General features: G+C 44.0%; 1 long non-coding RNA gene across 1 annotated transcript, besides 2 other annotated features; it reads right to left on the reverse strand.

Moving 5' to 3' along the window:
• Positions 1-439: 439 nt before the first annotated feature.
• Positions 440-3600, reverse strand: LOC107986219 (uncharacterized). The gene is made up of 3 exons (XR_001741498.1): positions 2940-3600; positions 2694-2794; positions 440-482 (listed from the first exon to the last, which is right to left on the reverse strand). It is a non-coding gene; the product is annotated as an uncharacterized LOC107986219 (long non-coding RNA).
• Positions 11132-11632: an enhancer, noted in NCBI's record as "H3K4me1 hESC enhancer chr4:17286136-17286636 (GRCh37/hg19 assembly coordinates)". NCBI's record gives its function as "activates a minimal SCP1, AML or CMV promoter by ChIP-STARR-seq in naive H9 embryonic stem cells {active_cell/tissue: H9 hESC(naive)}" and the evidence as "EXISTENCE:reporter gene assay evidence [ECO:0000049][PMID:30033119]".
• Positions 11633-12133: an enhancer, noted in NCBI's record as "H3K4me1 hESC enhancer chr4:17286637-17287137 (GRCh37/hg19 assembly coordinates)". NCBI's record gives its function as "activates a minimal SCP1, AML or CMV promoter by ChIP-STARR-seq in naive H9 embryonic stem cells {active_cell/tissue: H9 hESC(naive)}" and the evidence as "EXISTENCE:reporter gene assay evidence [ECO:0000049][PMID:30033119]".

The following is a 12850-nucleotide window of genomic DNA, read 5'->3' on the forward strand; positions in this document are numbered from 1 at the left end:
ACTTGAGTTACATTCCAAAGGGTAGAATATTTACTTGGATTTTAAGATAAGAGCAAATCAGGGAGTAACACTACAAGTGAAGTTTTAATCAGATGCATTGTATTAGACTGAATAAAGAAAATGTAGTACGATACACCACGGAATCCTATGCAGCCATAAAAAGAATGAAATAATGTCCTTTGCAGCAACATGGATGCAGCTAGAGGCCATTATTCTAAGCAAATCAACACAAGAACAAAGAACTAAATGTTGCATGTTTTCCCTTATAAGTGGGAGTTAAACATGGGATACTCATGGACATAAAGATGGGAACAATAAACACCGGGTATTAATAGAGGGGGAAGAGAGGAAGAGAGACAAGGGCTGAAAAACTACCTGTTGGGTAGTATGCTCACTACTTGGGTGACAGGTTCATTCATACCTCAAACCTCAGCATCTCACAGCGTACCCAGGTAAAAAAGCTGCACATGTACTCCATGAATCTAAAATAAAAGTTGAAATTATAAAAATAAAATTTTAAAAATTTAAAATGCAACATGCATCCTGCCTCCTAGTTCTGCATTCCCTTCTCCCACTGGTTTGGCTGCAAAGGAACACAGGACATTGACAATAATCACTCGGACAACTAGCAGGGAGATTTGTCCTGGAAGCAGCTAGGACATGGGCTGCAGAGAAACTGATCCTATCCAGCTAAGATGACTCATTGGATCAATAGCATCATTAACAGGAGTCCCCTGAAGGAAAGTGCCCACCACAAAGCTGACTCCTACTCTATCTCAGATGGTCCTATGTGCACATGTAAAAGAGTCAGATCCAAGGCCAGGTGTGGTGGCTCACGCCTGTAATGCCAGCACTTTGAGAGGCCAAGGCAGGCAGATCACTTGAGCCCAGGAGTTTGAGACCAGCCTAGGCAACATGGTGAGACCTCATCTCTACAAAAAATACAAAAATTAGTGGGGTATGGTGGCATGTGCATATAGTCCCAGCTACTCAGGAGGCTGAGGTGGGAGGATCTCTTGAGCCCAGGAGCACTGAGGCTGCAGTGAGCCGTGATCATGCCACTGCACTCCAGCCTGGGTGACACAGAGCAAAACCCTGTCTCAAAACAAAAAAAAAAAAAGGGCCAGGAAAGGAGAAGAGGGGATAGCCCAGACTGGGTGAGAGGAAGGGTAAGGCCAAGAAGCAACCAGCAAACTGCATGTGGGAGCTAGTACCTAAGCCTTGAAAAAGGACTCTCAGGGCTGTAAGCTAAAGGGAGAGTCCAGACTCTGCCTGCAATAGTGCCCCTGTGATCATCAGCTCTAACCCTATGATAACAACGGCTACCATGTATTGTGTCCCCAGCACTGAGGAGAAGGTGAGAGCCAGCGTAGTCTTGGGGGTGTGAGGGTGGCACTAGGAACAGCTGTGTCCTGGAGAAGTGTAACTTATGAGATAGGACGAGGCGGCAGAGGTAAGCTGTTTTGCACTCTAAGTAGTTTGGACTTTCTCCTAGGACAGTGGGGAGCCATGGCCAGATTCAAAGCATGGTAGTTCCCAGGGTTTAGGTGACTTATCTGGAGGCTGTGTAGAGAACAGGTTAGCACAGCGGCTCTCCAAGCACTGTCCCCAATCAGCAGCATCAGCGACACCGGAAGACTTGTTAGAAATGCACATTCTCAGGCCTCATCTCAGACCAAATGAATCAGAATCTGGGTGGGAGCTTAGAATCTGTGTTTTAATGAGTTTGAGAAGCATCGAGTTAGACACCAGCATAACTGAGAGCACACCAGTTAGGACGCTGCTACTGGTGGCTCTAGAGAATGCTGAGAGAACATGCATGGGGGCAGTGGCAGTCCCTGCGAGGGGAGGATGTGAGTAGCATAAAGAGGCCAGAGGAGCAAGCCTTGGTGACACTCATGAGACAGAAGAAGAGGCCCAAGGAAATTTTACAGATTCCTGGTTAGAAAGAAGTACCATTTGCCAAGAAAGGACACACAGGAAGTGGGGGAGAAGGAGAAACGAGTTAGTGGGGGACAACTGTGCAGGGGTCCTCCCCATCTTTTCCTTCCCTCCCTCCAGCTCACCAGGCCCTCAATCAGCTTCATCCCTGGGCAGTTCTAGAGGACCAGAGGGGAGCATGAAGATGGGATCCAATTCAGGATTATGGTCATCCCAGGAGGTCTGCTGTCAACTACTCTCTAGACAAGCCAGTCCTAGAGATAAACATCTGCGAATCGCCAGTTACTGGTTAGAGCACGGTGGTGAAGAGACCAAGCTCTGGAGCTGCCTGCATGGTGTTAAATAAAATTTATAGGTGGCCATTGATTGGGACTGAGCTCCTCCTGCAGTAGGCCCCCAAAGACCAAATCAAAATGGAGTCATTCATGCTAAAGTTCCACATCACCAAGCCATAATTAAGTTGTTTATATGACCTTCTGAAGAATTAGAAGAGGGAGAAATAGATAACAGCATATCCCCAAACAGGCCAGTTTAAACCTGATTAATAAGGAGGTCCCCTCCACTTTAACCTTTACAAGGAAAGGACTTTGAAACGACCAATTCACTTTCTGTTCCTTGTGTCTACTTTCTTCAGCCTTTTCCTGTCTATAAATACTCACTCCCCACGTTGCAGATCAGAGATCTCCTCTTCTGCTTCTGTGGGTTGCCTGATTCATGAATCATTCTTCACTCACATAAACTCTTAAACTTACCTTGTCTAAAGTTTTTCTTGTATCACTGGTCTCATGCTTTCTGTGCTATGATTTACTTGCTGTGTGACCTTGTGCAAGTTGCTCAGCCTCCATTTCCTCGTCTGTAAAATGGGAAGGGTAATAATAGGATACACATTTTAGGATGATTGTGAGAACAAAATGAGTTAGTACCTGCAAAGCATTTAGAACAGTTCCGGCAATGCTGTATTCATGCCAATGTTTTGCTATTATTATTGTCATTATTACCATTTTTATAACCCATGGAAGTGAAGAGATTTGAGAAATCAACCAGGTCCTCTGAGATGGGAGGTCTAAAGGGCTCCTTTGCTCTGCTTCTATTGTAGTGGCTTGAATTCCAGTCCTGACTGCTGGGACGCATGCTTCTCTCTTCCTTCCAGGCCACTGTTCTTCCTTCCAACCTCCTCTCTGCTTATGCCTCCTCCTCATCATTGCTCTTCTCAGCTTTAATCAGTCGATACCACATTAGCTCTCAGGACATATTCAGTGCCTGGCCAGGCTGGAAAACAAATTTTCAAGAGGGGTAAGAGATCTTTAATCCATACATTTGTTGAACATCTAATGGGCACTGAGGCCTGGGAGATGGAGTCCCTGGCCTCCAGGAGCACTCTGGCTGAAGGGCAGCAAGGAGGGTGCAGAGCCACAGCAAGAGGCCCGAAGTAATAAGCTTTTCTCCCTCACTAGAACCTCCCACCCCCAATCCACTTAACAATTTGTGTTCTCACTCTGGAATCATCAAAGCATAAGAAATCTGCTATTGGAACAGGAAATGCCAAGATAGCACAAGCTCTTTTTTTTTTTTTTTTTTTTTTTCCCCAAATGTCCCATCTTTTCTAATCTGGGCTTTTGAAGCAGAGCCCCTTGGCAGGGGGAGAGAAAGCACAATCCAAGCTCGGAACAGGCAGCGCTCCTGGAGAATGATGGGAAACAGCAGATACCAGCCCACACCCGGAGCAACTCGGGGCAGAGCCGAAGCCTGGGCCTCGGCAGCTGGGACTGATTCAACTTCCTGGTTTTAGCTGTGGTCAGCTGGATAGATGGATAGACTCAAATAGAATCCCAGAATGGGTTTTGAGAATGAAATAGAAAGAGAAAGGCCCTGGGGAACAGAAAGAAATCCCCAGAAATACAAAAGTTGGGGAGAGAGAAGGAGAAACATTGAGAGGAGGAGAAAAAGAGACCAAAACTGGAAAAGCTTCAAAGGAAGAAGGACCTAGGAGAGCGGCAAATGATGGAGAGATCTCATAACTTCTTTTCCAGCCGGTCCAAAGGAGCAGAGAAATTTGATCATGAAAACTGGAAGAAGCAGCTCAGAGAAGGGTCAGCAGAAGATAGCGTATCTGGTGACCCCGCCTTAGGCTTGGAATTACATGATGATTCCCCCAAACATAGCGCAGAGGTGAAGTGACCCACTGATTAGGAAAAATGTGTTCTGTCATCTCTGCAGGGCAAATGGCTTTATATTTTTTTCTTTTTCCAGTCTCTGAAAAAGGATCTCTTCTCCCCCACCATTCCCATCATCCTCACAAGTCTCGTTCACTGCACAGAAAGGCTGTTTTTACTGAGTCACATCTGGGCAAGCCAGAGTCTTTAACGGTATCTCATAATGGCACCAGCTTTTTATGTGTGAGAAATAATGAAACACCTTATTGGTGAAACAAATATCAAAGTGCAAAAGCATTGCTCATGCAGAAAAAAACAGAGGAAAATTGCTTCCTTCTGCATCCAACCCATAAGCACAAGTCCCTTCCAAATTGAGGTGTTTGTGTGTGTGTGTGTGTGTGTCTTTTTTGTTAGTGTGTCTTTTTTGTTTCTGTTTAGAGTTTAATAAAATCCTAAGACAGTTGTTGCATTTCAAGAGGAACATACGGTCCTGTTATTAATGCAGAGTCACTAGTGATTATATCCTCAGACCTTCAAAAGGGACCCTCAGCCTTCATTCCACTCATCTGGAAAGATAAAGTGTTCTATCAAAAAAGTAATAAGTGCACAATATAGGAAAAAAAAAACGAAGAAAAAAGGAACCAATCCTAGTTCTACAACTCAAACAAAATTATTTATATCTTATTATAATTCTTCCCAGTCTTTTTTGTTCCTATATAGCGACTCTTCCATATTAAATTTCCTTTCTTAAAAAATCGGTAATCATAGTAGAGCTCCTTGGAATTTTTTAAAAGGGAGACATGATGGACATATGGAATTCTTGGCTTCCCAGCATCTATGTCACCTTCCTTTGGTAATTGTGGCCATATTCTCCTTTGGGTATTACTTTTCCAGTGATGTACCTGATGGGAATGTCACCTGGAATGTCCTGTGTTCCCCTAACCCTGGGGAGGGCATCTGACTCACATGAGGCCACTCAGATACTTCTATGCTTGGATGTGCACCTTGAATAAAGTGACAGAAAGAGATGAAAATAAAAAGATTTTAAGCTTATAAACCCAGTGCAATTGCCATGTAAGACTATTGCATTGTTCTTGCCACCTTTATACCCCTCCCCCTCCAGAAATGCCTTGGTTCCTAAGCCTGGTTCTCCAAACTTTAGTTAATTCTGTGAACTCTCTCATGCTCTTTCAGGAAGCTTTATTTTTGCTTAAGGCAAAAAGGGTCCATTTCTGTCACTTGCAACCAAAGAATCCCAATGAAAATGTGGCTAAAATGAGGATACGGATCATAAGAGATGCTGTATTATCTGAACAAAATAATAAGAGAATACATTCTGGAAAACATTGTTTAATTACTTGTAGGACAACATATAATCAGTTGAGACTCCCAGAAATGTCGTAAAACACAAGATAGTACTAACGTCTCATTAGATTTGGCACTGTTGATGAGAACATGAGTCCTAGAACCAGAAGGCCTGACTTAAATCCTTATTTTAACACGTACTAGCCTAGCCAGGTGACCTCAAGCAGGTTGCTGAACCTCCCTGTGCCACAGTGTCCTCATCTAAAGAAGATGAAATAAGAGAGCAAATTTCAGGGGTTACATGATAAATACATGCAATGGCTTAAAACAGAAATCATTCAGTGTAATGCTAGTTCTTATAAGAATTTGCTTTTCAGTGTCAGAATGATTGAAACCAATCACAATCTTCTAGTTGGATTCTGTTTCTTTCACTTAATTTGGCAATCTTTCCCTTCTAATGGGAATAGTAGGTTTCATTTAATGTACTATTGAGATAGTTGTGGTTAATTTTACCATCTTCTTGTTTAATATTTCTTTTGGATTCCTGACTTCTTTGGGAGATATTAAATGTCCCATCTCCTTCTCCTTATAGAGAGGTAGATAGATAGATAGATAGATAGATAGATAGATAGATAGATAGAAAGAAAGAAAATAATAGGTCAATAGATAGTAAATTATAGGTAGATAGGTAGGTAGGGAAGCAAGCAGGTAGATAGATGATACATAGGTAGATAAATAGGTAGAAAATAATAGATAGATAGACAGACAGACAGACAGACACAATGTGAGCCCATTCTCATGCTGCTGATAAAGATATGCCCAAGACTAGGTAATTTATAAAGAAAAAGAGGTTTAATTGACTCAGTTTCACATGGCTGGGGAGGACTGACAATCATGGTGGAAGGCAAAAGGCATGTCTCACATGGTGATGGACAGAGAGAGAGCTTGTGCAGGGAAAGTCCCCTTATAAAACCATCAGAGCTTGTGAGATTTATCCACTATCATGAGAACAGCACAGGAAAGACCCATGATTCAATTACCTCCCACCAGGTCCCTCCCATGACAGGTGGCAATTGTGGGAGCTACAGTTCAAGATGAAATTTGGGTGGGGACACAGCCAAACTATATTACTATATGATGCATACGTAGATATATAAGTAGGTAGGTAGGTAGATGATAGATAGATAGATAGATAGATAGATAGATAGATAGATAGATAGATAGATAGATAAAATTGCCATTCTTTCAGTGATTACTCTAAAGACTACAATATACATCCTTAACTTTAATTAAGGTCTAACATAAATTAGCATTTTGCCAGTGAGCCATGTGAGGAACTTAGAATCTTCTGATGCTTGACTCCTTTTATTCCCATCCCACCTTATATGTGATTATTAGTGTACATGTGAGGCTCCCTTAACATTTTCCTGCTCCAGGGAGAATTCGGTTTTGCTTCTGTCAGGTAGCTAGGCTGAAAAACCAATCAGAGATTTTCAGAGATTTAGATGATTTGAAGCCAGGCTTTGGTCTTTGTGAGGGCTGGTTTATTTCCAGGCTTTTACTCCTAGGAAGGGTTTCTTACTAGAGTTTCTCAGCCTCAGCACTATTGACATTTTAGACCAGAAATTCCTTGTTATGGGGGAGCTGCCCTGCACACTGCAGGCCATTTAGCAGAATGCCCTACTTCTCCCCACTAGATGCCAGTAGCATACCCTCAATTGTGGCAGCCAAAAATGTTCCCAGACATTATCAAGTGTCCCTTGAAGGGGCAAAGGTGCCCCATTGAGAACCAGTGTCCCAGGGTGTAGCCCTACAGGATCCCAACCAAAAGTCCTCAGTCCCTGAGACTGTCAAAGCTGCACTTACCTCTCAGCCTCTTTGTTGCCACTTTGGAATGAGGGAAAAAGCTGTTCCCAATAGGGAGCTCACTTCTCTTGACTCCCTCCTCCCAGAGGCCTTAAACTTACACATTTTCCCTGCCTTGTGAACCTGGCCAGCACATTTACACAGGGGTGTGTGTGTCTGTGTGTGCGCATGTGTGTGTATGTGCGCGCGAGTGCGTGCATGCATGCGCATGTGTGTGTGTTTGCTTTTCTAGTTCTCAACAGAAACATTGATCTGAAATGACCTGGCTCATCATCTGAAATGACTAGCTCATCACTGCAGAACTCAAGAGTGACAGTCACTTGGAAGCAAAATCTTAAATAATTTCTTTTGAGTATAGATACAGCAGACTGAATGTTCTCTGCAAAGTTCTTGGGTGCAGGGTACAAAGAGGGAACATGTTAGAACTAATAATAGAACTGTTATTACAGGAGTTTTAGACTGAGTTATTCTTTGTTGTGGGCCATAGCCCTGTGCATTATAGGATGTTTAGTAGCATCCCTGGCCTCTGCTACACACAACAAAAATATCCATCCTTAGAGGAATTTACACTCTAGTTAGTGTACGAGTATATGCACATTTTAAAAGCCAAATTAAAAAGACTTCAGTTGAGCTACAAAGTATATATGCATCTCAAAAAAAAAAAGGCGTACAGTAGAAAACTATGGAAGGAGATGTTTATTACAAGCTAAATTCAACCCCCTACTTTTTATAAGCTGTGTGACCTTGACCAAGTCCAGGCTCAGGGTCTTCCGCAAAACAAGACTGTGGGATGAGAAGATCCACCACCACCGTCGCTTCCAGACCTGACAGACGAGAAGTCTATCAGAAAATAGGTTTGTGATCATTTAGAACACTAAATCCAGCCGAAGAGAAGCCACATGTTTATGAAAAATCAGTCATATCTGATTGACCTATTCCCATTTTGACTGATGTTTCTAATTGAGAAAGTAAAGGAAACTCATCAGATATGGGATAACTGGTTTCCAGACACATCTGATGAGATGCATCAAAATGTTCTGAGGAAATGGAGAAGTATGGGCTGGGCGAACAGACATCTTGGATGGTTTGTAACTAGTTGATTCCAGAAAGCAAAGAATTCTGATTGGCAGGTGGATATGGACGGATAAAGGCCATCTCTGATGTTACGGTCCCATAAAACAGCAGCCTCTTCAGGCCTGTTGCTCTGGATCAATGATTTGGATCCCAATCAAGAAAGCATTTCATCAAATGCATGGGTTTTTTCAAAGGTGAGATAACATAAAGGGAACTCTAGACCAGGCGCGGTGGCTCACACCTGTAATCCTAGCACTTTGGGAGACCAAGACAGATGGATCACTTGAGGTCAGAAGTTCAAGATCAGCCTGGCCAACATGGTGAAACCCCATCTCTACTAAAAATACAAAAAAAAAAGCCAGGCTTGGTGGCAGGCCCCTGTAATCCCAGCTACTTGGGAGGCTGAGGCAGGAGAATCGCTTGAACCCAGAAGGTGGAGGTTGTGATGAACTGAGATCACACCATTGCACTCCAGCCTGGGCAACAAGAGCAAAACTCCATCTCAAAAAAAAAAAAAAAAAAAAAGATAAAGGGAACTCTAAATCATGTTCCTGCCCACTGTCCTTCAAGCGTCGCCTCTCTCTGGTGCAGGAAGTACTACACAGGCTTTCTTCATTCTTGTCCACCTGAGTCAGTACACCCTAATGCCTGCTTCATCACTGCTGCCCGGTGGACCCTCTGGCTCCTGAGGCTCGTGCCCTCTCCCGGTCACTTCCCCATGCACAACACCCCTCTGCATTTATTCCCCAGAGTACCACCAACACAAGACAATCGTGTGCTGCAGATTTCTACTAAAGTTTTGCAGACAGCAGAAGGTATTTAGAGCATAAAGCAGAGAACAGCTTCAAACTAAAAATCAGATATCAAATCCCTAGAAATATATTCTCCACTCCCTGCCACAGAGAGTGCCCGATTGGCTTTGTTATTTCTCCTCTTGTCTAGCAGCATGCAAATTTCCTTGTGTTCTTTCATCTCTTCCTACCCTTGACTCCTGGGTTCTGACAACATTTTGTCTTGCCTGCCATAGATATTCAAACTTTGACCTTATTTTGCTGCACAAGTACATTCCAGACACTTATTGACCTCAACTTTGCCATCCAATGTACACCCAGGGTGGAGCAAGGAAGGGGAAGATAGGGGCTTGTCTTCTTCACCTAAAAGACCTACCAGGGAATGTTCCTACAAATTCATCCACCCAAAAGAAAAATATTGCCTTTTACATACAGGGGAATTTGAAGGTTCTTCTCTAAGCTGAGATTCTATGATTTTGTGGTTTTACTTTTTGTCTTTAAATGGCTAAGTGCTTAAGAAACAATGAGCACTAGTCCCCCACGGTCAAGGATGGGAGGACTAAGGCTCACAAGTTTTGAGGATCAAAGATTCCTAGAATACAGCGAGGATTGCCATGCATTTACAAAGCCCCTTCTTCCTTTGTGCATTCGAACAAACCTGAAAATACTCTCATCCCCATTCAATAAACAGAAGCTTAAAATTCAGTAGAAGCAGGAAGTAGTGACAGAAGATGAAAGAGAGTAAAAATGATTCGGAGGAGAAAAAAAAAATACAAGGGAATGAAATGTCCACACCCAAAAAGTTGTGGACTAAATGAGATGAAGGATTTGGGTCCCCGAAATACCACCCTCTCCTTTTGCCTCCCGGTTTGATGCTGGTGTGGAGCTGCGAGCACTTGGGCAGATATTTGCATGCTCTAAGTGTTCCGCTGGGAAAGTGGCAGATATCGAGACAGATGGCTCTAGGAAGTGTGGGTGAGCCTGACGTCAAGTTTATGAGCCAAATGGTGTTTTCTGAGTTCCACCTCTTCAGATCCCATCCATAACAGACCCACTACCTCAAACCATGCCCCTCCCTGAAGCCTCTCCTGCCCCCTTGATCATAACAATCTTTCTTTCCTCTAATAATAATAAATGCTGGTTAAACATGTACTGTTCTGTCAAATATTGTCATTTAGGCCTCATCCGTCAAGGACCCCCTTGAAGGCCACAACAGGGTCTTCCCTCTGTACCGCACTGGCCTGGAATTCCTCCATTTACTCGACACATCCTTATCAAATACCTACTATGTGCCAAGCGCTGTGCTTCGCATGAGGGAAATCAACAGGGGACCAATGAGAAGGTCCTTATCTTCATAAGGATCTCATTCGAGAAAAAAAGAAACAATAAATACATAAATAAAATGAAGAGTCCAGCTCCTGGTTTAAAAAACCTACGTGTGATTTTTCAGGCCCGACCATAGGCAAGTACAAAGGCTTCACCTGGCTGGCTCCATGGGCAACATCTGCCCTTCCCACAGCAGACTTGGCTCACAGCCACTGCATGGCAGGCTCTGAAGGGAATTGGAAAGGACTCAGGCCCCTCTAGCTGGTCCTGCTCTTCACATATTTGTAACCCTAGGCCCAGAGCCTTCATTCCTGGGTTTCTTTGTCCAAGACCTTGGGCAGAGGTCCTCTGCAGACATCTCTGCCAAGTCCTACTTATGGTGAAAAGAACGGAAAAACCTGGAAGACCATTTTTCCCACTCCGACTCAGTACTCAGTACTTTTCCACTCCTGGCTCTCAGCCCTGATCCTCCCCAACCCCAGAGTCCATAAACTGCTCCCTCTACCCCACACCTGCTCTGACCCACCTGACCTCAGCCTGTGCACTGTGCCATGGGCAGCAGGGGAAATCTTACTGCGTGGGTTTAGCCCCTTGCTTGTACCATAGCAGTTAGTGAATAAAGGCTGTGCTGGTACTTCCATGTCAACCCCCTGATGCTTCATCAGCTACTCCTACACCTGATAGCTCAGCCCTCTCTCCAGCTCAGCTGAGCTCCTGAGAAAAAATAACAAATCGTCACATAGAATAAGATCTTAAATGGAATTTCTGGTGTTGTCTTAGAATTTTGGCTGAAGCCCAAAGCTGAGAACAATAGATGATAAATAAAACCCTCTCATTCCTCCTCCAGCAAACTGTAACTAAATATGGAAAGGTGTAGACTACCCATTCAGGAAGTCCTGTGACCCACAGCCCACCTCCAATACCCTAGTCTGTATGTATGAAGGAAGCCCAGAGATGAAGGAAGAGAGAATCTCAGGCAAGTGGTGAGGGGGGTTCTCTCCCTGGTGCTGCCAGGGGACCAGAACGGAGGGTGACTTTTGAGGGAGTTTTTCAGTCTCCCAGTGCACAGAGACCAGAGAAAGAGTCCGCATGCCAGAGGCTGGCTGCAGCAGCCAGTGAAGGGAGCCAAGGGACAGGGCTGCCTTGGGAGTGGCCAGTTCCCCCAGGAGTACACAGCAAAATACCAAATGTTTCCAGTGAGCAGAGTGGATGCTGTGCAAAGCTGCCCGGCCTGAATTGTCTTGAAAGAGCTGCCCAGGAGAGTGAGGCCACCCTCACAGACAGAGAGGTTGTGAGGTACAGTGCCTGAGATGGAACTGCAGGGCCAAGATTCATGGAAGCGAGTCAGACAGTCCCCCCATTGAGGCTGGGTGGGCAGGATGGAGGCCTCCTGTGTGGGGTCTTCTTCCCAAAGAAGAGCCAGTAATTGTGAATCCACCTTGACAGAGGACATCTGACAGTCACGAGTGAACTGCAAACAGCACCAGCTACCTGGAAAAGATCTTCTTGCCCATTAACCTCTCATTTCTCCCTCATCCCTCCTCTTTCAGCCTGACTCTGAAAATGCCAGGAGGAGTCCAGCGGGGAAGCAGGGAAGGAAAGAAGTGAAGAAGGTGAAAAAAAATGAAAGATAGAACCACAATGCACTTGCGACTGTTGTCAATAGGACCTAAGTCCAGCTTGAGTCTACAAGGCAGGAAAACAAACTGAATGAGGAACTGAAATTATGGCATTGAGTTGGATTAAAACTATTTAATATCTAAAAAACAAGATGATTTTAATACTCAATAATTATCATAAAAGCCATGGGATTTGCTTGCAATATTATTTTTGGCAAATCCTTCCCAAACAGGTTTGAAGCTGCGGTGGGTGAAAAATAGAGTTATTTCCTTATCTTATCTTACCAAATATAGCTTGTTCAAATGCCAGCCATAAAGGCAAAAAAGAAGCTGAGAAAGAGACAAGCAGAGATGAAATCTACTTTTGAAACTGCCACCTGGGAAGGCTGAGGCGGCAAACAGTAGTGAGACAGGCACCATCTCTGTGGAGAGAGGAAGATTGTTCCAGGCCAAGGGAAGATATGTGCAAAGGCCCTGAGGCAGGAAAGAGGAAGCCATGAAACTACAAGGTCCAGAGCAGGGCAGAGCATGAGACATGACGTCAGAGGCAGATTGCACGAGGCAATGTGATCACAGTGAAAGGTCTGGATTGATTCTGAGGGCGTTCCAGAGTTTAAGCAGCAAATTGACATCCAATTTATATGTTTAAGATCACTTTTACTGTTGTTTCAAGAAAGGATTGGGAGAAGGAATAAGAGTGGAGGCCCAGTAGAAGGACACAATGTACTTCTTAGAAATGGTGCAATAAATCCTGAGTGGTTGCCTTTCTCAAATT

The sequence above is a fragment of the Homo sapiens genome, chromosome 4, assembly GCF_000001405.40.
Source record: "Homo sapiens chromosome 4, GRCh38.p14 Primary Assembly".
Classification (NCBI taxonomy): domain Eukaryota; kingdom Metazoa; phylum Chordata; class Mammalia; order Primates; family Hominidae; genus Homo; species Homo sapiens.